At 46.1% G+C, this 24,625-nt stretch overlaps 1 pseudogene across 2 annotated transcripts in view, besides 3 other annotated features; it reads left to right on the top strand.

The window, feature by feature from the left end:
* Positions 9,010–9,879: an enhancer, noted in NCBI's record as "H3K4me1 hESC enhancer chr10:47644059-47644928 (GRCh37/hg19 assembly coordinates)". NCBI's record gives its function as "activates a minimal SCP1, AML or CMV promoter by ChIP-STARR-seq in naive H9 embryonic stem cells {active_cell/tissue: H9 hESC(naive)}" and the evidence as "EXISTENCE:reporter gene assay evidence [ECO:0000049][PMID:30033119]".
* Positions 9,880–10,749: an enhancer, noted in NCBI's record as "H3K4me1 hESC enhancer chr10:47643189-47644058 (GRCh37/hg19 assembly coordinates)". NCBI's record gives its function as "activates a minimal SCP1, AML or CMV promoter by ChIP-STARR-seq in naive H9 embryonic stem cells {active_cell/tissue: H9 hESC(naive)}" and the evidence as "EXISTENCE:reporter gene assay evidence [ECO:0000049][PMID:30033119]".
* ANTXRLP1 (ANTXR like pseudogene 1) overlaps positions 13,094–24,625 on the top strand; it is a 50,584-nt pseudogene continuing 39,052 nt past the window's right edge. Inside the window, exons 1-2 of one of the 2 annotated variants that reach the window (NR_103827.1) lie at positions 13,094–13,320; positions 19,094–19,192. The product of NR_103827.1 is annotated as an ANTXR like pseudogene 1, transcript variant 1 (transcript). The remainder of the gene's footprint in view (positions 13,321–19,093; positions 19,193–24,625) is intronic. The other variant, NR_103828.1, reaches the window with a different exon arrangement.
* Positions 15,685–16,350: an enhancer, noted in NCBI's record as "H3K4me1 hESC enhancer chr10:47637588-47638253 (GRCh37/hg19 assembly coordinates)". NCBI's record gives its function as "activates a minimal SCP1, AML or CMV promoter by ChIP-STARR-seq in naive H9 embryonic stem cells {active_cell/tissue: H9 hESC(naive)}" and the evidence as "EXISTENCE:reporter gene assay evidence [ECO:0000049][PMID:30033119]".

Raw genomic sequence — 24,625 nt, 5'->3', positions numbered from 1 at the left:
GCAGCACTTTGCCAGGAAGGGGGGCTCCGCGACCCTTAGAACATAGAGGTGTCCAGGGACTTAACTGCCCCTGGAGGGTGGCAGGGGGCCAGGGCAGAAGGGCCGTGGTCTGGACGGAATGACTGTGGGGTGGGTGGAGACTGCGCTGGGACTCGGAGGACCTGGGCTTTCCCCTGCAGTGGTGGAGTGAGGGTAGATGGGATAGAGTCTCAGGTAATTGCAGTTCTTGGTGCTGTTGCAGGCAAGTGTGCATGGGTCACATTGCTTGAGCGTAGGGTGCAAAGTAGCTTCCTTTGGAGAAGGGAGAATTCTTCAAGTACTGAAAGGAAAACCACCCCGAGTCCCTGCTCCCTCATTGATTAATTCCGTCACTCAGTGGGTGTTCTGACGTGGTAGGGGTGAGTGGGTGCGCGGAGATACCGTGAGGAAGCGCTGAGTTTCTCTCCAAGGCTTTGGAGGGTCTGTTGCAAAGATGAGATCCTCAAGGACAAACATAAGTCTGATGAGGGGGAAGTTGGGTTCAGAACATATATCAAACCTTAGAGATGGTCCTGTTACAGGAAAGGGGTCCCCATCTAAACACCAAGAGAGGGTTCTTGAATCTTACGCAAGAAAGAATTCAGGGCGAGTCTGCAGTGCAAAGCAAAAGCAAGTTTATTAAGAAAGTCAAGTGGTCAAAGTGCAGCTACTCCATAGACAGAGTGGGACGTTCCCGAAAGTAAGAGGAGTAAAGCCCCCATCCTAGGTACAACGCTTGTGTAGATGGGGAGATGTGCTCTGCAAAAGGGTTTGTGATAAAGGATTCATTTTCTTAATTACTCTATTTTGCAAGCATCAATATTATCTTTAAAGCAAAATTAGGAATGCCGTTGTTCTCCAGATATCTTGATATCTGGATACTCCCAAGTCTGGGTCTGTTTAGTAAACATTATTAATTTGTTCCCTTAACTGTGAACATCTAGAGGCGAGGAATGCCTAGCTTTCTGAGAACGCAGCCCAGCAAGTCCCCGCCTCATTTTCCTAGCCCTCACTCAAAATGGAGTCGTTCTGGTTTGACTGCCTCTGACAGTCCTGAAGCAAAACTTTTCTTTTATGGAAGAGAGAACATTGAGGAATAGAGAGAGACATCAAATCCGAAATGCAGAACATCAGAGACAAAGAAAACAATTTGAAAGTCACCAAACTCAAAACACAGATTACCCAGGAAAGACTGGTGGTGAAACCAATGATAAAGTTGCCACAGCCACCAGTGATATGTCCTTGGGTGCCTCAAAAATAGAATTCTGTATCTATCTGGAATATAAATCAAGTGTGAGCACAAAATGAAGGTATTGTCAGATGTGCAAAGTGTGAGTTTACAACCTGTACAACCTTGATGAAAGGATAAGAATGTATTTCAGAAAGAAGGAAACAATTTGGAAGAGTGGAGTTCAAGAAATGACGGTGAGCAAAGAAGCTGGGAACACACTGATTAAGGTGAGTGGCTAGGTACGGAAAATAATGACCATCACCAATATGGGGAGTTTTCTGAAAATAAAAGGATAGAATAATTTCAGAGGGAGACCACTTCCAGGAAAGTTTATCCAAGCAGCTTGGGAGACCTTGAGCCATCTGAGGAGTCTGAGATTTCCTAGGCATGGGCCTGTTTTCATATCCCTGCTGGCCTCTGGCTAAAAGAAGCCTGTGAGGGATGTGGTCTTTCTGTGAATGTGGTGGCCCATTGTGGTGGTAGAGAGTGGATTCCCAAAACACTCCCTTCCCCTAGTCCTACTCCCCACAGTCAGAGATCTGATTGGTGCAGTTTCGTGCTCCCCACAATGTACTTAACTTGCCATTTAAAGTCAAAATTTGTCTGCTAAAAAAGAAAAGAAAAAGAAAAAAAAATCCAATCCAGCACCGTGGCTCATGCCTGTAATTCCATAGCTCTGGGAGGCAGATGTGGGAGGACTGCTTGAGGCCAGTCTGTGCAACATAGCAAGAACCTTTCTCTCAAACAAACAAACAAACAAACAAACAAAAAAAACCAAAAAAAGAAACCACAGAAAACAAAAATAGGTGGGTGTGGTGGCGCACACTATAGTCCTACTTACCGGACTGTGGGAGGCAGGAGGATCACTTGAGCCTAGAAGTTCCAGGTTATAGTGAGCTATGAGTGCACCACTGCACTCTGGCTTGGGCAACAGAGTGAGGCCCTGACTCTTAAACAAAAATTGGCTGGGCAGGGTGGGATCACACCTATAATCCCAGGACTTTGGGAGGCCAAGGTAGGCGGATCATTCGAGGTCAGGAGTTCGAGACCAGCCTGGCCAACATGGTGAATCCCCGTCACTACCAAAAAAAATACAAAAACTAATCGAATGTGTAGGTGTGCACCTGTAGTCTCAGGTACTCGGGAGGCTGAGGCACGAGAATGTCTTGAACCCAGGAGGCAGAGGTTGCAGTAAGCCAATATCGCACCACTGCACTCCAGCCTGGGCAACAGAGTGAGACCATGTCTCAAAACAACAACAACAACAACAGAAACCAGCTATATACTTTCAAAAAGAGACACATCTAATACATAAGGACATAAAAAAGTTTAACATAAAAGGATGGGAAAAGATACAGAGATGTGGCCGGGATGCTGGGGAAACCAAAAGGAAGCGGGAGTCTTCAGCACAGAGAAAGCGTGACCAGGGTTTAAGAGGATCAGTTCCCAATCAGCTGCATTTTCTAGACAGCCATAACAATTCTAAACTTGCATGCACCTAATAAAATAAAACAAAAAACATAAACTATAAGGAGAAATTGTGAAACCCACCATGTATTTGAGAAATTTCAACACGCATGTGTTGAGTAGACACAGTGTTACTAAAAACTTAGAAGATTTGAACAACACAATTAATAAACTTGGTTTTAATGGTCTTCTAAAGAATCCTCCCCCAAATCATGTATTGAAACAAATCTCAATAAAATTCAAAGAAACAGTATCATACAGACCATGTTCTCTGATTATAATGCGATTAGGTTGGAAATCAATGACAAAAAGAATTTTTTAAAACCACATAAAATTGGAAGTTGAAAATTGAATGTATCAAAGTAGAAATCAACACTGAAATTAAAATCAACTGATAATAAAATATTAAATATGAAAACTTATGAGATTCAGTGAAAGAGAAACTTAGAGGGAAATTTGCGGCCTATTAGGTTTATTTTGCAGCAAAGAGGGTTGAAAATAAAGAGCTAATAATCTAAATGAAAATATGAGAAAAAGAGTAGCAAAATGAACCCACAGAAAGTGAAAGGTAGAGGATATTAAATAAATAACTATAAATAGAAAACAAAAAATGCAATAGAGAGTAATAACAAATCTAAAGGTTATTTGAAAGGTTTGCTAACATAGACAATACGCTAGTGAAATTGATCAGAAAACAAGACAGTGCTTCCTATCCTTTTCTGTTTTTCATTCTAATCTCCCCATCCTGGGAAATGTTTTAGGCTTTATTTTTCTTAATAGTATCTCCTCGTTAACCCCCATGAAATTTTGATTCCACATATATACTAGATTGCCCTTTATGTACTGTATACATATCTGCGTTTTATATTTTAAAAGAGTAAGACCCACACAAGGCTAATTTTCACTCCTTTAGGGACAATATCCTCCCTGTTTAGAATGCCTAGAAAAAGAGAAGGCACAACTAAGCAATAATAGGAATTAAAAAGATGTAACTACAGATAGAGCAGAAATATAAGAATTAAAAACATTCTGAACAACTTTATAACAAGGCATGCTAATTAATGTTCAAATTCCTAGAAAAATATGTCATATGAATTGACAGAAACAGAAACACTAAGTAAGTATTAGGGCCAGGCATGGTGGCTCATGGCTGTAATCCCAGCACTTTGGGATCCAAGGCGGGCTGATCACTTGAGGTCAGGAGTTCAAGACCAGCCTGGGCAACACAGTGAAACCCTGTCTCTACTAAAAATACAAAAATTAACTGAGCCTGGTGGCGCGTCCCTGTAATCTCAGCTACTCTCGAGGCTGAGGCAGGAGAATCTCTTGAGCCTGGGAAGCAGAGGTTGCAGTGAGCCAACATCACGCCACTGCACTCCAACCTGGGCGACAAAGTGAGTCTCCATCTCAAAAATAATAATAAAAAATAAATAAATAAATGTTAGTCTGCTCTGGGTGTCATAAGAAAATACCACAGGCTGGGGGGCTTAAACAATAAAAATTTATTTGCAACCAGTCCTGGAGGCTGAAAGTCTATGATCAAGGTGCCACCAGGATTGGTCTCTGATGAGACTCCTCTTCTTGGCTTGCAGAGACCTTCTCATGGAGTTTTCACATGGCCTTTGCTCTGTGCATCCTTGAAGAGAAAACTCTGGCGTCTCTCTTCTTGTAAGGACATCAGTCCTAGTTGATTAAGGGCTTAATCTTATGGCCTCATTTAACCTTAATTACCTCCTTAAAGCCCCTATGTCCTAATAATTCAGTCACATCACCAGTGAGGGCTTCAACATACCCATTTTGGGGGAGACAGAATTCATAACATCCAGAAATTATTAAATTATATCATTTTAAAGTCTTCTCAAAAGAAAACGCAAGGATGATATCATACCAGATATTCAAAGAGCAGATTATATTTATCATGTTCAAAGTCCTTCCTAGGAGAAAGAGCAAACCTCCAGGTGCATTTTATGAGTCTCCTATGACCTAATACCAAAAACAGATAAGGACAGCACAGAAATCGGAAAGTATGGACCCATCTCTCTCATGATCATAGATAAACAACAAGTTCTAAATTATGACTAAACTCTAGCATGTTTTAAAATATCATGGCCAAGTTAGGTTTATTTATAGCATTTTAAAATTGGTTTTGCATGCATTAATGTATCTAAACATACTAAATTTAGATTACTGGACAGAAATACATGTTCATCACAAAATACCAGAAGAAGCATTTAGATAAAACACTTGTTTGTGACTTGTAGCAAACCAAGATTAGTAGAGAAACTTTCTAATCTGATAAAGAATTTCTACCAAAAGCCTTCAAAGAATATCATTGTTAATTGTGATGTTAGAAACATTCTCTGTAAAATCAAGAGTGCCTCCATCACTAGTCAACATTGGATTGGAGAACTAGTCAGCACAATTCTTATTCTTTTTTTAAAAAAAATTATATTTTACAAGAAATCAAAATGAATCTACAGATAAATTCATAGAAGAGAGTTTAGTGAGGTGGGTCAATATATAAACATGTAAGTACATTTCTGTATATGATACACAGTTTAAAAACTTTTAAATTATCATTTACAATAGTAGTAAAATGTAGTGTATTTTGGGAAGGCACTGGACCAATGAGGTCAAAATCTTCATAGGGGAATTTATCTGAAAGGCACTGGAAAAGACCTGTATAAACAGACATATGCCATGTGTCATATTCACTGATAGGACAACTCTCACTGCAGACCTGTTTCTTCCAAATGAATCCATACATTTAATGTTATTGTAATCAAACATTAAGAAGTTTTTGGGAGAGAGGAGACTCGATGAGCTGATTCTAAAATTTATGTCAAAGAGCAAATAGCCAACAATAACCAGAAGAAAAAAAAGTGGATGATTGACCGTATTGTGTGAAGACTTGCTGTAGAACTTTGTATATGTGTCAGATGAGTCTAGGTTATCTTCCAGATACCCCCTTCCCTCTCCCCATTTAATCATCTGAAAAGCACAAACTATATTTCTCATGTGTATATATCATTCTCCCACGTATCCATTCCAGGTTCCCAAGGGAACGCCACACATCCTAGTTGCTCAGGCACCAGGCTGTCGGGGCCACCTAAGTCATACCTAGACTCTTAAACATTTTCTGTCCAGAAGTGGCACACATTACTTCTGTTAACATTCCATTGGTCAATCAAAACCTGCCACAAACATGGCAGGGAGCGCAGCCCTTCCCTTAAATGGAAAGGGACAATGATGGACAGTAATACAGTCTTCCTCCATATAGTCATTAAGATAATGTGGTATGGATGCTATCAATATAAGCCAATAGATAGAGATTGGCAGCCTGGCCAACGTGGTGAAACCTAGTCTGTACTAAAAATACAAAAATTAGCCAGGCGCAGTGTGTATGTGAAGAACTTTGTGTATGTGTCAGATGAGTCTAGGTTATCTTCTGGTTACCCCCTTCCCTCTCCCAATTTAATCATCTGAAAAGCACAAACTATATTTCTCATGTGTATATATCATTCTCCCACGTATCCACCCCAGGTTCCCAAGGAACGCTGCACATCCTAGTGCCTGTAATCCCAGCCACTCGGGAGACTGAGGCATTATAATCGCTTGAACCTGGGAGGCAGAGGTTGCAGTGAGTTGAGATGGTGCCACTGCACTACACAGCCTGGGCAACAGAGAAAGACTCCATCTCAAAATAAATAAATAAATAAAAACAGATTCAAATCTATATGGAACTTGAAACACAAGTAGTGACGAGATCAATAGGCAAAAGATGGAATTTTCCACAAATGGAGCTGGGACAATTTGTTAGCTTCATGGCAAAAAATGAAATCAAATATCTGGCACAAATCACACTTATAAATTAATTCTAGGTAGAATCAAGACTTCAATGTGAAAGGCAAATCTTTAAAACTTGTAAAATAAAATGTATTTCACCTCTAACGGAAGAAATTCTTAAGATATAAAACAGAGCAAATCTTAAAGTTTAAGAAAATGACAACACTTTGGGAGGCTGAGGCGGGTTGATCACGAGGTCAGGAGTTCAAGACAAGCCTGGCCAAGATGGTGAAACCTCATCTCTACTAAAAATACAAAAATTAGCTGGGCGTGGTGGGGGTTGCCTGTAATTCCAGCTACTTGGGAGGCTGAGGCAGAGAATTGTTTGAACCCGGGAGGCAGAGGTTGCAGTGAGCCGAGATCACACCACTGCACTCCAGCCTGGGCAACAGAGAGAGACTCTGTCTCAAAACAAAACAAAGCAAACAAACAAACAAAAACCACCACTACCACCACCATCACCACCAACAACAAAAAAACAAAAGAAAAAGAAAAATGACAAACAACTGGATTAAAATGAACAACTTTTGCTTTACTAAGAGACAACAAATAGAGTGAAAAAACAAGCCACACCATGGAAGAAGATATTTGCAACAATTGATAAACGATTAGTATTCAGAATTTAAAGAATATGAATGAATCAATACGCAAAAGATAAACACCCAAATCAGAGAATGGACACACAGGCATGAGCAGGCACTTCACAAAGGAGGAAACAGGAATGACCCAAAATCATGAGAACAGATGAACAACTGTTTAGTAATTAGGAAACTGCAAATTAAGACAATACTTTTGTCTATTGATTAGATGTCAAAACATAATTAAAAATAAAATAAAATAAAATATGGCACTACCAAGGGTCACGAAGGATGTGAAGCAGGAAAACCTAATATGCTTTCAGAGGAATTACACCAACTCTACCCATTCTAAAATACCACTTATTTAAAATAATCCATTGTTTTAAACACCACTCCAAAGCAAGACAGAAACCCCCCAAAGTCCACTAACCCAGTGCTTTTTATCACTTGTAATTTTTTGTTTTTTTTTTTGGAGGAAGAGTCTCACTCAGGCTGGAATGCAATGGCACAATCTTGCAATCTACAACCTCCGCCTCACAGATTCAAGTGATTCTTCTGCCTCAGCCTCCCGAGTAGTTGGGATTACAGATGTGCACCACCACACCTGGCTAATTTTTGTATTTTTAGTAGAGATGGGGTTTCACCATGCTGGCCAGGCAGCTCTCAAAATCCTGACCTCAAGTCATCTGCTGGCCTCAGCTTCCCAAAGTGCAGAGATTACAGGCATGAGTTACCCTTCCTGGCTATCACTTGTAATTTTTGTGTCAAATACATTGAAAGATCTATTTTAGACTTATTGAAGAAGAATTTTTAATCATATATCACTTCTGCATACAAAAATGAAGAAAATAAAATTAAGGTATTTCTAACTATCACAGTCTAACTTTTCTGAGTCCAACTTGAATCCCATCATCAGTACCCACGTTTTTCCACACACTGTAACGTCTCTGCCATTCAAAGCATTTGTCATACAGTAGTTTTGACACTGGGATGTGAACTCATCCACACTTCTGCCCTAGAGAGAGGGCCTGTGTTCCCTCCCATTGACTCTTGGCAGCTGTGACTGCTTGGACCAATAGAGTACAGTGGAAGTGACACTGTGTGACTTCCAAGGTGATATCATAAAAGTCTACAATTTCTGCCTTGCTCACTGAAAATACTCACTCTTGGACCTCTGGGCCACCTGTAAAAGCCCAAGCATCCTGAAGCTGCCATGCTGGGAGGAAGCCCAGGTCACACAGGGAGGCTACATGCAGGGTCTCCATTCGCAGTCCCAGCTGAGCCCAGCTTTTGAGCCCTCCTGCCCAGGAGCCACACTTGTGAGTGGAGCAGCCTCCAGATAATTCCAGTGCCCAATCCTTCAAGTCATGTTGGGCTGCTCAAGCCTTCCCATCTGGGGCCCCAGACACGAGGAGCCCTTCCCACTCTGCCCCGAGTGCCTGATCCTCAGAACCTGTGAGCATAATAAAATGGGCCTGCTCTGTGTCCCTAAATGAAGGTGGTCTGGTGCACAGCAGTAGAGAACCGGAATGTCCCTCATTCACAAAGACTCTGGCAACACTGCAGTTTCCGTCTCCTTCCAGATCTGCTACCCCCTGGGGGACTTCAGTGTCACACAAATGACCTGTCACTGCCAACACTCTGGCCTCCCAGTCCTTGACCTCCTCACCCACAGCAATGTCCTCACCTAGGTCACCTGGGCTAACTCTTCCAGTAAACAAATGGCAGGGTCTGGGGGTTTTAAGGGACACTATGAGGGCTGTTGTAAGGGAAATGGAGGCTTCCTCTTGTGGCCCCTCCAAAGGTCCTGTGCCTCCCCCTGGTGTTGTCAACATGCAGGACACTGGGAAGAGCTGCAGGTCACAAAGTCACCATGTCAACCTTCCTGTTAATCACAACAGGGAATTCATAACAGAGTTGGGGTGGGAGGTGGGGAACTGGCATCACTCACCCTGGCTTCTGAGCCAGTGCCTCCGGCTTTTCACCAGTACTTGATTCCTTCTCAGCGCAAATATGCGGATGTCTTTTGTCACCTACTCCACAGATGGCGACACTGTCTTGCCACTCACCTCAGACAAGTGAGTGCTGCTTTGAGCCCCAAAGGGAGGCCTGATGAGCTGAGCCATAGGGAGCTCCAGGGAGCTGAAGGGCTCCCAGAGACCTTGGTTGGGAGCCTGACAGCACATGGAGAAGGCCGGTCAGGGCAACTCACAGTACCCACCCTGACCTTAGCCCCGGATCCCCTGCATCCTCCTACCCATGGCTGCAAGGTTACCTGCAGGCCCCTGTGCTCCAGAATTTCTCAGCCTCCCCGTTCACACTCCCCTGCCCTCCCTCTACCCTGCCTCCTTCCCTGGGAGGTGGCTGTGAAGATTCCTGGGGTGCAGGGGCTGGCAGGGTGGGAGTGTGTGTCCTGTGAACACACACCTGTGCTGGCTGCTGCTCTGTGCCTGTTCCTCCTGCCCTGGCCAGTGAAGGAGGGAGACAGGGTCAGAGCCAGTGGTGAGAGTCATGGGGCTTTAGTGCAGGGATGCTGGCAGGCCCAGACAGGGGAGTCCCTGTGTGGGGTTCTGAGCTCCAGGCCAGGCTGGGAAACTGGTGGGAGGGAGGTAGGAGGAGCAAGCTCAGGTGGCTTGAGGTGGCCTAGAGAGGTGCCCAGACCTAGCAGGGTGCACTGCAGAGTTCCTGTTTGGCGGGAGATGAGGGCACTTCCAATGCACATGCCCAGAACTGGGCCCAGAGGAGGTGAAGTGCAAGAGAGAGGTGAGGATACTGAGGACTGGATGGGGGCCTGGACCCTATTTGCAGCTTCGAGGGGATACAAGGTGGGCTGCCACATCTTGAGCTAGGGGGAGGCTTGGATCTGTGTGTCCTGCGCTGTGGGTTTGGCAGAGAGACTGGAGTGGGTGTGAGGTGGTAAAAAGCAAGTCTATTGGGGAGGACTGTGGCGGGTGACCCAGAAGGGGAGTGGGGTTTGGGCATGGCCAGAGGAAGGCCAGGCCATGGCCTCTTCTGGGTATGGATGGGTCTGGCCTTCTCCCCTCCTGAGCTGGGCAGGCAGGGCTCTTAGAGCTCCGGCCATGGCAGGGACTGTCTGCCCGCAGTGGGAAGCCATCCTTCAGGGTCCATGCTCTGCTCAGCCTTGCTGTGCAGGCTCAGCCTGTCACATTGGATTAGCCTGACCCTAAGTCCCCAGCCTGTCCCAGTCCTGCCACCAGAGCCAGTCCTGGCTGCCCCAGCCCATTCTGTCTGCTTTAACAGCAGCTGACAGGCCACATCCCCCAGCCAGTCTGCAGATCAGTGTTCAGCCCCTGCATGCACAGCCGTCAGGGCTGCCTCTCCAGCTTTTGGTCTTTTTGTTTCAAGGGCACAGGAAGTCAAGGAGTCCAGGCAGTCTAATTAAGCAGATTTGGTATTTCCTGTACCAGGGTAAAGAGAGAGGAAGAAACTGAGTCAGGGTCAGGGGTCTGGGGCTGTGAGGTCTGGGTGCAGGGCTGGGGGCTTAGCAGGATGACTTTTCCCAAATGCAGCCCTCCCTGTTAAAGGACGGAGTGCCCAACACAAGAGAGTCCTTCTTGGGTTAGAGTTTGGATTAGAGTTAGAGTTAGAGTGTTAGAGTTGAGTTAGAGTTTAGAGTTAGAGTTAGAGTTAGAGTTAGAGTTAGAGTTAGAGTTAGAGTTAGAGTTAGAGTTAGAGTTAGAGTTAGAGTTAGAGTTAGAGTTAGAGTTAGAGTTAGAGTTAGAGTTAGAGTTAGAGTTAGAGTTAGAGTTAGAGTTAGAGTTAGAGTTAGAGTTAGAGTTAGAGTTAGAGTTAGAGTTAGAGTTAGAGTTAGAGTTAGAGTTAGAGTTAGAGTTAGAGTTAGAGTTAGAGTTAGAGTTAGAGTTAGAGTTAGAGTTAGAGTTAGAGTTAGAGTTAGAGTTAGAGTTAGAGTTAGAGTTAGAGTTAGAGTTAGAGTTAGAGTTAGAGTTAGAGTTAGAGTTAGAGTTAGAGTTAGAGTTAGAGTTAGAGTTAGAGTTAGAGTTAGAGTTAGAGTTAGAGTTAGAGTTAGAGTTAGAGTTAGAGTTAGAGTTAGAGTTAGAGTTAGAGTTAGAGTTAGAGTTAGAGTTAGAGTTAGAGTTAGAGTTAGAGTTAGAGTTAGAGTTAGAGTTAGAGTTAGAGTTAGAGTTAGAGTTAGAGTTAGAGTTAGGAATGTCAACCCCATTGTCAGTGACTGACTCTCAGTTGCCCATCCCCGGTTCAGGGTTAGGGTTAGGGTTAGGAATATCGGCCCCATTGCAGTTCCTGACTCACAGTTGCTCATCCATGGGAAGCTCCCACTGTCACCAGAGATGGTCTAAGTGGGGCCCTGGTGAGATTCCCCAGGCCTACATTCTCTGGAACTAGGATGAGATCAGAAGGCCTGTCATCTATGGTCAACGTCACAGTAAGGAATGAGCAGGACAGAGCCCTTGCTTGGCCCCCTCCTCCATCCCCGAGGCCTTGCACAGTGAGCAGTGGCTCCCAGAGAGCTTGAGAGGTAATTTTTAGCAGTCCACGTCTTTCCACGTCAACCACTTTTTTGGAGTTTTTTCAGGAAGAAAATAAAAGAGGGTCTCGACAAACTTCAGAAAATGGTGCCTGAAGGACACATATTCATGCAGGCAGGGTTTAGAAATGTATACACCCCTTGAGCTCCAAGAATCGATTCTAGTTGACAAGGTCTTAGAGCATCAGTGGGAACATTTCACTGTCCAGGCTCAATATTTCTTCATTTTCTTGCAGGCAATTCGGCAGATGGAAAATTTCAACTCCAGGTTTAAGCACCTGCCGTCCCCATGGTGGTCCCATAGGTGGAACAGAGCTGGGCGTGAGCCTCAGAGAGCTCTGTGTGCAGACTCTGCAAGGCCACACCTGCCCTGCCTCTTGGAGCAAGTTGCTCACCTGTTCTGAGGTCCAGGTCCCTCCCTGGTGCAATGAGCATAGTAAGCCCTCGCCCCATGGAGTTCTGAGAACTGTGTGGGATCCTGCGTGTGCAGTTCTGGTGCTGATAACCCTGAGGTGCTTGCCCTCCAGCTGGGCTGTGTGAAAAGGAAAAGAGAAGAGCCAAGGGGTTTTCCCCCTTGCACACACCTTAGTCTTCCTCCTCCCTTCCTCATTTCCCCTCTGAGTGACTTGCATCCCTTGACTGTGTCTCAGATGATGCAGAAGGCTGTCCACAGCTGCCGACCCCCTCCCCACAGTGTGCCTGCAACTCTTGTCAGGAAAAGGCATGGTTGGTGGGGAAAGGCATTGAGGTGGATGTGGGGTCCCCTGCCCAGGTACCACTTACCTGGAATCCTGTACTCCTGGGCCCAGAGATGCTGGCAGGGCTGCCCGCAGGCTCTGCCCACAGGAGAGCCAAGCTGCTCCTCCCCCTACCCATGGGACAGGCCTGTGCTTGTGGAGTCCTGGCTGCAGCTGCCCTCAGGCAGAGGTGGTGCAGGCTGCTAGTGGGTGAGGGTTCAGGCAGCCTGGTGAGAAGGAGCCTGCCCCTCTCAGCTCCTCTTTTGTAAAATGGGTGCTGGGCTGAGACCTCCCTCACTCTAAGGGTCTCTGTGTAGCAGGTGCTTGGCTCTTGGCAGCCTCTCCCCTGGAGGATGAGATGGGGGCACCTGGACATGCCCTGGAGTGATCAGTGCTGTGGGCCCAGCAGCCCGCAGGGGTCCTGGAGTGTTGGGCTAATCAGACCCAACACCATATCGTGGGAGTGATGAAGTCTGGTGGAGTCAAAGGAATGAGAAAAAGACAGTTTGAGAGAGAAAGTGGGACCAGTGGGCCATCACAAGTGTGGAGGCTGCAAAGGCCCTGAGCTCTGGGAGCCCATGCTGTTTATTGGTGCTCAAACAAAAAACAGGTGGTGAGGATGTGGGGGTTGAAAGGAAACAGTGTATCAAGTGAATGAGAAACATACAGCTGCTTGAGATAACGGAAGTGCTAGAAGCAAGGAGCCAGCAAGTCTAGCAGACATGCAAGCCCTGCCTCAGCTTCTCTCCCAACACTCAGCTTTTCTCCCAATACAGGAACTTTTGGAGGTCACTTCTGGGGCCTTTGCTGAGCAGGCCACTCCTTGCTTCTCCTGCAGATGACAAGGTTTCCAGCATGATTATTGCTATGACTGATGGAACAATGATGAAACATCCATCTTTGGACACTCTCAAAGAAGTGAGTTCAGTTCGTATTTATCAGCATTTTGCTCCCTGTATTTTGGTAATTAATACTCAATGCCTTCTTTCCCTTAAGCTGAAAGGGCTCGGAGCCTGGGGGCCACCATTTATACCGTGGGTATGGCTGATTATAGGAAAGACCCAGTAATTCCAAACAGGTTAACCAGGCACCAATATAGAGCCTTGTGGTCAGGTTAGGGTTAGAGTATGGAAAGGTGTCCCAGACAGCTTTCCTAGGGCCACCCCAAGAAGGGTCATCTAATCTGCCTCAAGTGAGTTGGGCCACCCTATGACTACTGCAGAAATGACAGCATGTCATATAAATCCTACTAAACCAGAGGGGAGGGTGGAAGAGCTCCCCACTCCCTGAGAGTGGGCTGCTGGCTGGAGAAGGCTGTGGCCCTCAGAGCCTGGTATTCTGCTGCCTCCAAAGCATGGGGGCAGGACGCTCTCCCTTGGGCTGGGGATCTGCTGCATGCTCACCCCTGGGCTGGGAGTCCAAACCAGCTCTGCTCTCTGTAGATAACAGCAATGGCAGGCGGTCCGGACCATGTGTTTGCAGTGGAGGATGGCTTCAAGGCCCTGAGAAGCACTGTTGATGCTGTGAGTGAGTGGAGGTGAGGGGCTGGGGGTCTGGCTCCTGTGGCCAGAAGCTCACTCTCCCTGCCCTGCCCCACCCCTCCTGTGTTCCACCTCATGTCAAAGACCTGTCTTGAAGTGACGTCTGTGGAGCCTTCCTCTGAGTGTGTAGGAAGTGAGAACTGCGGAGGCCCTGCGGTTGCCAAAGGGTGGTGTGCACTAGTGCATGCGTGTATGGAGTGTGTGCATTTGTTTGGTATGTGTGGGGGAGGATGTGTGTGGGGAGTGTGTGAGTGTGGTGTGTGTATGTGGTGTGTATGTGTTTGGTGTGTGTGGTATGTGTGTATGTAATTTGTGTGGGTGCAGTATGTATAGTATGTGTGGGAAGTTGTGCTGTGGGAGGCTTGAAGTGTGTGAAGTCTGCGGGGAGGGTAATATGTGGTCTGTGTGTTGTGTAAACGTGTGTGTGATCTGTATGTGAGGTGTGTATATGTGCTGTGAGTGTGGTGTGTGTGGGGTGTGCATGAGTGATGCATCTGTGTGTGTTGTGTTGTGGGTGTATGTGGTGTGGGAGCTGAGGAGGGTATGTGTTGTATGTGTGTGGGGGTGTGAGTGTGTGTAGGGGGCATATATGCATGTGTGTGTGGTGTGTGTGGGGTATGCGCAGAGTGTGTGGCATAAGCTGGGGTGCTGTGGAAGTGTGTGGGAAGGGTACCTGGTGCGTGGTGTCTAGTGTGTGAGTTTGTTGTGTGGAGGAGTTGGGAGTGTACTACTTGTGTGTGTGGTGTGTGTGTATGGGATGTGTGGTGTGTGTTTGCTGTTTGTGGAGTATGTGTGTTTACTATTTATGTGTGTCTGTGGTGTGTGTGTGTACAGTGGGACTAGAGTGTTTGGGCGTGTTGTGTGTGTCATATGTGGGTGTCTACATGGGGATATCTTGTGCGTGTGGCATGTAGGGAAGGAAATGGTGTGATGGCATGTATGTATATTTTGTGTGTGCATTCAGTGGGTGGTGGGTGTGTGTGCCATGGCTGTGTGTGTATGGTGTATGTATACGTGTTTGCTGTTTATGTTGTGTGTGTGGGGTGTGCTGGGTGTGTGTTGGGGGAGTGGAGAGTGTGTGGTGCGTGTGTGATGTGTGTGGTGTGTGTGTGGGATGTGTGGTGTGTCTTTGGTATTTTTGCTGTATGTGTGTTTGCGATTTATGTGTGTGTGTGGTGTGTGGGTGTGTGTGCTTCGGGCGTGTTGTGTGTGGTGTGATGTGTGTGGTATGGGGTGGGTTAAGTGTGTGGTGCAGTGTGCATGGGTGAGTGGGTGTGGATGTGTGGCCCACATGGGTGTGAATGTGAGTGTCTATTGCTGTGGGGGGAATATGCAGGGGTGATGGTGTGAGTACCTGTGTACAATTAGTGTGTTGTTAGCTCACAACAATAAGTTTAACTCTAAAGCAAGAAAAGACATGTGTGAGAAGTTCTCAGGGAAACACCAGCAAATGGCATGGAACAGCAGCTAACCCAGACCACAGGGCAGGAGCAGCCAGGGCTCCTCCCAGGAAGGCCAGGCAGGTGCAGAAGGTGAAATATCTGTATAATTTACCACATCAACAAAACGGGAAACAGGGACCAAGCGGTTATCTCAGGGGATGAAGAACAAGAAGTGGGGGCGTCAACATCCCACAGCACCCTGTGAGCAGAAGGAAACCTCCATAGCCCAACAAAGGCATCCGCACAAACACCCTCAGCTCACCTCAATCCCACAGGATCAGTCCCAGCATCTGTCCCTACTGTCTGGAATGTGGCAAGGGTGACTTCTTGCCATCTGGGGTCCCGGCATGGGTGGTGACATTGTGTGGTCCTCTGTGATGACCCGTCTGTCCTGACCTCCGCCTGCACACGCTGGGACTCCGCATGGCCGGCATTTACGCAACTACCGCTGCTGGAGAGGAAGAGAGCCTTGGGTGACTCTCTTCCATGGGGACAGCACGAGGCTGGGTGCCGCTGGCCCCAGAGCAGCAGCTGGGCTCTGGCTTCCCAGTTCCTCACTGCAGGGTGCCCTGTCAGTAGGCTGTGGGGACCGACACACGGTCCATGTCTGAGCTCTGCTCTCCATGGGCACACGACCAGAGCAAATAGTCCAATGTCAGCGAGCTCCAGAGGTGCCTCCCATGAACAGAAAGGACGCTGTCAGGCCTGTCGTGAGTCCCTAGGCACTGGGCTGTGCAGGGACTGGCACAGGGCTGGGAGCTGGTAGGACCCAGGAACAGGAGCTGTGCTGACACTTCTACGATTGGTCCTGGGCTCTGTCCCCGACACCGCCTCTCCCCGATGCAGAGCTGAGGGTGGGGATAGAGTAGAGAGCTCCCCTCCCCCTCAGGGTCTCTTTCTGCTGCTCCTGATTTAAAGCTGCTCAGCCATGCAGCCAGTGTGACAGCTGTGCTCTGATGATGTCCCCTGGAGATGCACAGGCTGTGGCGTCTGAGCAGCCCTGTCAACCTGTCAACCCCAGGTGGGGATGTGAGTTGTAACTCCTCCCTGGAGGCAGCTGAGTCGAGGTGACAGGTGCCCTCTGCCCACCAGCTCGGCCCTCTGCCTCTGCCCACCAGCTTGGCCCTCTGCCTCTGCCCATGTGGCCCGCAGTCACAGCCCTGACCTGTCAGCTGTTGGCTGAGTTGTGCAAAGCTGCCCCACATGGAGGGTGACAGTCACAGGAGGGAAAGGCCAAGGCAGGAGCCTGGAACTCAAATGCAACAGAATGAGCCCTCTCAGCAGGCTGTCACCAAGAAACCAGGAGGGCTCCAGGGAGCCCAGGAAGGAGGCCAGGGAGGGAGGCACACAGCCCAGACTCCCTCATTCAGGCCTGGGCCTCCTATCCAGCCTGGGAGAGGCCTCTGGTGGCCTCACTGCTCCAGGCCCATCCTGAGCCCATCCCCCACACATGGCTGGAGGGTTTTGACAGGCATCTCCCTCTCCAGCCTGGCAGGTGTCTGAGGCTCTTAGCAGAACCCCCAGGCCCTCCAGGGGCCGCTCCCTGTTCTGGGCACCTTGTGCAGAGGTGGGACCAGGTGGAGCACAGGCACTCTGCAAGCCTTGCCTCACCTCGAAGGGCCGAGCCCACCTGTCCTTCACAGCCCTGTTCATAGGGCACCTCATCCTGGAAGCCTTTCCTGATGACCAGCCCCTCTGACTCCCTGCAACCAAGGGCTTGGTCTGTCCCTCTCATCAGTCACTTGTCACCCAGGGTGTATCATGATTTCCGGTTGTCTATGTCCAAGTATAATTTTCTTCTTTAGTTCTTTGGTTTTCTTCCAACCTTTATTGTTGAAATTTTCAAACCTATAGGTGAGTGGAAAGGATTGTGCAATGAACACAAACACACCTCTATCCACCACTGGGATTTTACAATGAATGTTTGCCCATGCTCCTTTGTCTGTCCTTCTCCCTCTCTTTTCATCCATCCACCTTGCAAAAAAAAAAAACAATGTTTGCAATACATAGAATATGTAGTCCTAACACAGCTTAGAATGTAATTTGCAACCACCCTGATCGTGAAGCTTTGGGGCAGCCCTCAGTCCTGCTCAGGGTGGCCGAGTTGGGCTGACCAAGGGGCGCAGGCCACAGGCCCAGTTGCTCCCTCCCGGGCACACTGAGCTCAGGTCCGACTGGCCAGGGCCCTTTGGACACCTGAGCAAGGAAGATGTTGAGAATGCTGCCTGATAGCATCAGATTTGGAAGCAGCTGTTGTCTGCCTTAGCGGTAGGAGAGCACCCAATGCTTACCCTGAGTGGGGCCAGGTCTGGTTGCTCAGCACAGGGCACCAAGCTGGCCTTTCCTGCTCTCTCACAGCCTCAGTGCCCCCACCAGGCCCAGGGTTTTCTGAGGACAGCATAGTATCCATCAAGTGGGTGCCCACAAGGGCTGGGCTGGCACCTTGAGCAGGAGGAGCAGGCCAGGCCCAGCCGGCTGATGTCAGCAGTCAGTGTGTGGGGCCTTGAAGTGAGGCAGGCCTGGGAGCTCCTCATCTGAGGAGCATGGTTCCCTAGGTCCCAGCCAGGAGCTGACACGGAGAAACACAAACCCACTGAGGCCTGCATTTCCCATTTCCTAAGAAAGCTAGAAATCTGGATATTTAGGGGAAATGTTCAGGCTTTCAACTGTGAGCCCCCATTTTTGAAAATACTTGAAAGCCTCAGAAAGTATGTCAGCAGGCCAGCTTCACCGACAGCCTGCCTTGAAGGTGTGACGCTGCAGGAAAGCAGGAAGCAGGGTTCAGAGGAAGCTTTCCTCGGGTGCATGGACTGGGGGCACCCCAGGCATCAGCAGGGATTGGAATGCGTGGGGCCTGGGCCAGGAGGCAGGGGTGGAGGCCAATGCCCTTGGCAGCTGCAGACCTGCGGTCTGCTGACTCCTGAGGCCAGCCCCACCTGCCCTGTGTCCCCTGTGGTGTTTGTCTCAGGGCAGGAGCCACAGTGGTGGAAGGACACACTCCCTGAGCCTCAGGGTGGGTGCCCTGTGGTCCTTGCTGGATCAGGAAGAGCAGGAGATGAGGAGTTACCTGTAGGTCTCTGGAATCGCAGCTAAAACAGGACTTCTGTGATGGATTGCCCTGAGCAGGGTCGTAGGTGCCTCACCTGTCCTACCCGAGTCCTGGCCCTGCCCCTGCCCCTGTGGGTGTCCTGCCTGCCACAGGCACACAGAAAGACAGGGAGGAGAGACCCCGAGTGTTCAGCAGCCCTGAAGGAGGCATCAAGGCCTGGGTGCCCAGCTGAGGCATGAGACATGGTGTCTTCAGGCAGCCTTGTGGCTCCACTTACACCTTACATCAGGGAGGGCCTGGCTGAGTGCACCGCCTGTACCCCTGGGGCCTGAGGGAGCACCACAGATTTCAGGGCAGGAATAGTACTCTGAGCCTGCCCTGTGCAAGGACCAAGGCCTTTCCTGAGCGTGTTGGTTCAGGGATGGTAGGGAGAGGGTCCTTGAGTGTGCTCAAGGCCCAGCTGCCTCCCCCTGGACCCTCAGTGACACCAGATGAAGATTTGACCCAGTGGACACATAGATGTTGGTCAGACACTGCTCCTTCCTTACAGGAGTATCTGCAAGTTGAGTTTTGGGGGAGGATCTCCAGGAACAGGGAGGTCAGAGGAGAGGCAGCCCTCCACTCTTCCACATTCAACCTTTTGAATGCTGTCCTTGCAGAATCCTACCATGTGGTTATTCATGGAAATGGCTTTCAGAATCTAAAGAAACGGGATGAAGTTATTTGCAGATTTATCTTCAGTGAAAGCACTATCATTGGTAAGTTGTCTCCTCGGTGCCTCTGAGTCACGTATTTCCCACACAATGCTGCCTTTTCCCACAGCCAGCCAAGCCTCCCAGCCCTTGCCAACCATTCCCTGTGGACCCTGTGGGGTTAGAGGCCATGAAGACAAGTGGAAGGAGGCACTGGGAAGGCCGGCCACCCCTCCCTTCATCTGCCAAGTGGGGAAGTAAAAAATCCACCTGTGCCTCAAGAGCATCTTAGACGAGGGCTTCCCCCTCAGTGAGGCTGGGTTTAGGACTGGGTCTGTGATCACAGCTGCATCTGCCCACCTTAGCCTCAGTTTCCCCTTCCCTTGAGAGCCCAGGACCCAAAGCCCACAAGGCTGCTCCTGGGAAATGTTGGCAACCCCGGAGGTCTGAGTCTGGCTGGCCAGGTGCACCAGTAGCTTGCCCAGAGGGGTATGTTTACCTTGCACTGAGGGAGGATGCCAGCCTGTAGGCCTGGGCCCTGGAATCCTGGCTCAGGCACACATTGCCTGTGTCACCTTGACCAGATGAGTGTTCTACTCTGAGCCTCTATTTTCTCAATTTAACATGGAGCTAATATGGTGCTGGTTGTGTATTCTGTAACTGAAATGCTTGGGACCACAAATATTTTAGTTTTTAGATTTTTTTCAGGTTTTGGAATGTGTGCATTATGCTTATGTTTCAGCATCCCTAATCCTAAAATTTGAAATCTGAAATTCTCTAATGAGCATTTCTTTCAAACATCATGTTGGTGCTCAAGAAGTGTCAGATTTTGAAGCATTTTGGGTGTGGATTTTCATATTATAGATGGTCAGCCACAGTTGTACCTAACTAAGCAAAATCACATGTGTAGAGCAGTTGGTTCATGGAAAGGCTATAGCATTTGTTTGAAAGTCCCCTATTATTTGGCAATAATTAGGCATCAGGAGACCTCTGTGATGGTGGAATGGCCTGAGGAAGCGCATAGTCCAGGCAGACACTGTGCCCTGGGTGCTGGGGGTAGGGTGTGCTCTTCCCCACTGAGGGCCTGGGGTGCAGTTGGATTTTTGGATCCTCCTTGATCTTCCCAGGTGGCCCCTTGATACATTCATTTGATCTGATGATAGTATGTTCACTGAAATCTAATTCCAGGGCCATATGGTAATCCCAGGATGACTTCTCTTCCTCCAAGAGGCTTCTTGGCCATTTTCCTCCTTTCTGTGGGTACATAGGAAGGGGCTGAGCCTGTCATCCCCACATTCCCACTCATCAGCATTGTGTGGATGGTCTCAGGGAATTTGGTTTTCATTGGGTTATACCTTCTCGGGAGTGTCTTAGGGACTGAGCAGCCCCTTTCTAAGGAAAGCTAATGCTTATTGAGCACTTAAATCAGATTTTGTGCCAAGTGCCTTATGCACACTATCTCCCTGAATCCTCAAAGCCGACTTACAGAAATTCTTTTGTATGTGTCAACCTAAATAACAAACAGACAAGGGCTCTTTACAAGAAAATGATGTTCATCTGAGAATAGGGCATCACAGTGGGAATACGCATGCCATAGTAAACTACATGCATATTCAGGAAGGTTAGATTTTACAGGAGATGTGAGAAGGATTACATAATTGTTTGAGTTAGTTCTTCTTGGCTACTAAGATCAATAATAATAGAGGTGACCCCAATGTGAGGTTGCATGGGCAATTGCGGGTCAGATGTCCTTGCAGAAGTATTTTTGAGTAAGGTTGCAATGGTCTTTGCAAAGGTTGTAGTTTGGTAGAGATTTGTGATAGTTTTTGTTATCAGGTATACAAGCATGTGAATCTTCTCTTCATAAACTTCCCCAATTCAGCTTGCCAGGATTTTTTTGTTGTTTTTTTAACATGTTAACTCCATTTTGATTCTGAGAACTTTCACAATTTCTCCCTTTTGATCAAGATCTTTCTGCAAACACCTCACTAATCAATCATTCTGTAATTAGGTTTTGACTGTCCCTGGATAATGGGATGGGCCTGTCCTGGTTGCAGGTCTTGGTCCATTTTGGAGGGAGCAATTGGCAACTTGGAGTAAGTGTCAATCCCTTTTAGTCACAGTTGACCTTTAAAGGATGTTTGAAAGGAGTGACTCTCGGGCTAAGTCTATCTTGAGTCCATTATTAAGTTCAATTTTGTGAGTTCCATAGTCTTGCTGTTATCTCAAAGTGATGGGCTAGCATTATGGTTACAAGTTGTACTTCTGCAAAAATTTAACAAGTAACATATAAAAAGTTTAAAAATGGAAAATACAATTTGCATAATAGTTTTTATCCATGAACCTAGGCTTAAAGGCAACTGTATTAGTTTGTTCTCATGCTGCTAATAAAGACGTACTTGAGACTGGGTAAGTTACAAAGGAAGGAGGTTTAATTGACTCATAGTTCCGCTTGGCCGGGGAGGACTCACAATCATGCTGGAAGAGCAAGAGACATCTTACATGGTGGTAGGCAAGAGAGAATGAGAGCCAAGCCAAAGGAGAAACCCCATATAAAACCATCAGATCTCCTAAGACTTATTCACTACCACCAGAGCAGCATGGAGGAATCCGCCCCCATGATTCAATTATCCCCCACCGGATCTCTCCTATAACAAGTGGGAATTATGGGAGCTACAATTCAAGATGAGATTTGGGTAGGGACACAGCCAAACCACATCAGTAACCCACTGAATAAATCAAATGATCATAAGGAATTAGGTGAGATCTGTTTTAACCATGTGGCCTGTTTTCTTACTTTGTGTATATTGGTATTGACTTTCCAAGAGGAATTTATCCAGGGATGGCATGCAGTATTAGCAATAGTACAGACATTTTCTTATTTAGTCAATGTATACCAAAGGATCTCTTAGGTCAGATTCTGTCAACTTACAAGCAGAAGGTAGTAATTGTGAAATTTCAATTACTCCATTATCTTGCCAAGTTAGAAAGGTAACCTTAAGGAGTGTAGGAGTCTCATTATACTATGGAGTCTTTTCCAATGTCTTGAAAAAAGCTGTCTATAGTGTGCAAAGGTCAACTTCTCATCCTGATTTGCAGTTTGTCTCTGGTCATGGCATCAAATGGTTTGGTAAACTTTATTTTTTATTTTATTTTATTTTATTTTTTTGAGACAGAGTCTAGCTCTGTCGCCCAGGCTGGAGTGCAGTGGCACGACCAGGTTCACGCCATTCTCCTGCCTCAGCCTCCTGAGTAGCTGGGACTACAGGTGCGTGCCACCACACCTGGCTAATTTTTTTTGTATTTTTTAGTAGAGACAGGGTTTCACCATGTTAGCCAGGATGGTTTCGATCTCCTGACCTCGTGATTCACCCGCCTTGGCCTCCCAAAGTGCTGGGATTACAGGCGTGAGCCACTGTAAACTTTTTATGTGGCCCATACATCAGGCACAAGGCTGCTTTCTTAAAATTCATCTAGTTTCAGCTTATAGGGCTTTTGGAACAGAACAGTTTTCCATTTATAGTAATTCCATGGAAGAAGGCTGGATTGGTGGAACATAGAAGAATTCGGGATGTGGTCTACTCTATAGACAGATAACAAGAACTTGGACAACAACTGACTACAAATGCTTTTTGAGTAGAATCCAAAAAACTTAGAATAGCCATGGTTAAAAATCTGATAAAAGTTCACAATCGACAAGAAAATTTAGTTGTTTCCATTACCTGCAGGAATTTAAGATATTAACCATAATCATGACTGACAGCATCATATCACAAGTATCAGACTTATAAATTTCCTATAATCTTTAGAATACTCACATCAATAACACAGCCAAATAAATACAACTTTAAAGAAGTTTTAACATAACAACCAAAATTATGACTTATAATATATTAGATTTTGTCATATAATTTTTAGAACATTCCTATCAATAACCTACCCATAAATGTGACTAAAAGAAGATGTAGCCTCACTTCTCATTTGACAATGCTTGTCATATAATTTACCAAATAAGCCTAATCATTTAATACCTCTATAAATTAAAATATATCTTCTTGCATATTCTCCAAGGGCCCAACTGGAAAATCTCAAAATTAATTGTAGTTCAAAAGGACTTAATTTAGAATTTTGATCCAGGAGAAGCCCACCAAAAATATCAAGAGATTCAAAGCCATAGATCAAAATAGAATCACAGGTCACTGTTAAATAATAGCCATTCATTTAACTCGAGTGATTATCAGGAAACTTCAAAAGCAATACAGAAAGTTACAAATATTTTAAAACCTTAACCTGTTCAAAGCTCAGTTTTCTTAAGTAATCAAAAATTTGATAAAGACAACACAGAAAATTATCTTGGTAAAATATAAATATATAAATTGTTTGTCTTTTAGGTCAGTTACCAAAAGGTAAAAAAAATCTCCTGCAATGTAATTGCTTCTTCTCATGGGAAGCCTGTTCAGTCTTGGAATTGAACCTGATGAAAGGGTCCTTAAATTCAATTAGAGATAAAAGAACATATCCAAGTGTTATGAATGTACACTCATATTATAGGAGAGTATAAACAAGAAGACTAGTACCTTGAGCAGAGGAATGTAGAGCTCTTAGATAAAGTAAAACCACGTGAAGTTTCTTGGTAACATGGAACAATTCAGACATATCAAGAAAAGCCAAGAGTACATAATCTAGTTATATTGGCGGAAAACATTGCTTTTCTTGGCCTTCAAGATAAACATTATAGTGCCAGGCCATAAAAGCCAAGTTAGAACTGGAGGAAAAAAGTTGGAGCAGCTGATGAAAAAGTTGGAGAAGAGAGTTATCACCTCAGCCAACCAAAAAGCTGTAACTTTTCGGAGGAAGGGAGTAGGAGCGCTACAGGCTATGGTGTATGGCCTGCAGACCATGTGCAGTGGGATGCAGCAGAAATTGAACTTCTGAAATAAGAACCTGAGGAAAATAAATACCTTATTAAATAAATACCATTTATTTATTTACCTTATGATAAATAAAATTACTTTCTATTTAATAAATAAATAAATTTTATACCTTAATGAATAAAATTACCATTCTTCATGAAAAAGATTGCATTCCTTATCTGAAACTGGGGAAATTAAATGGATCTCAGGAAAAAATGTGCCAGGAATAGAAACTGCCTGCAGTTTAGAAGATGGCTGTTAAAGAAAACAGCAGTCAGAATTAAAAATCAAAACCTCTTGCAATTTTACTAATAGCAAATCAATATTTCAAGAAAACTTTGGTGTTCTAATATAGGAGACCAATTTTTTAGTTTAGTATTACTGTATTTTTAATATCAGAGCTCAATCTTTATGAAGACTTATAAATAATTTTATTCTGATTATTACCAAGTCAATTACATGCAAAATTTTTTTCATCAATTTACCCCCCCACAAATATTTTTGTTTTTGTTGCATTTGCTTTTGGGTTCTTGGTCATGAAGTGTCTGCCTAAGCCAGTGTCTAGAAGAGTTTTTCTGATGTTATC

The sequence above is a fragment of the Homo sapiens genome, chromosome 10 (assembly GCF_000001405.40).
Source record: "Homo sapiens chromosome 10, GRCh38.p14 Primary Assembly".
NCBI lineage: Eukaryota > Metazoa > Chordata > Mammalia > Primates > Hominidae > Homo > Homo sapiens.
This window is presented reverse-complemented; position numbering and strand designations above follow the sequence as displayed.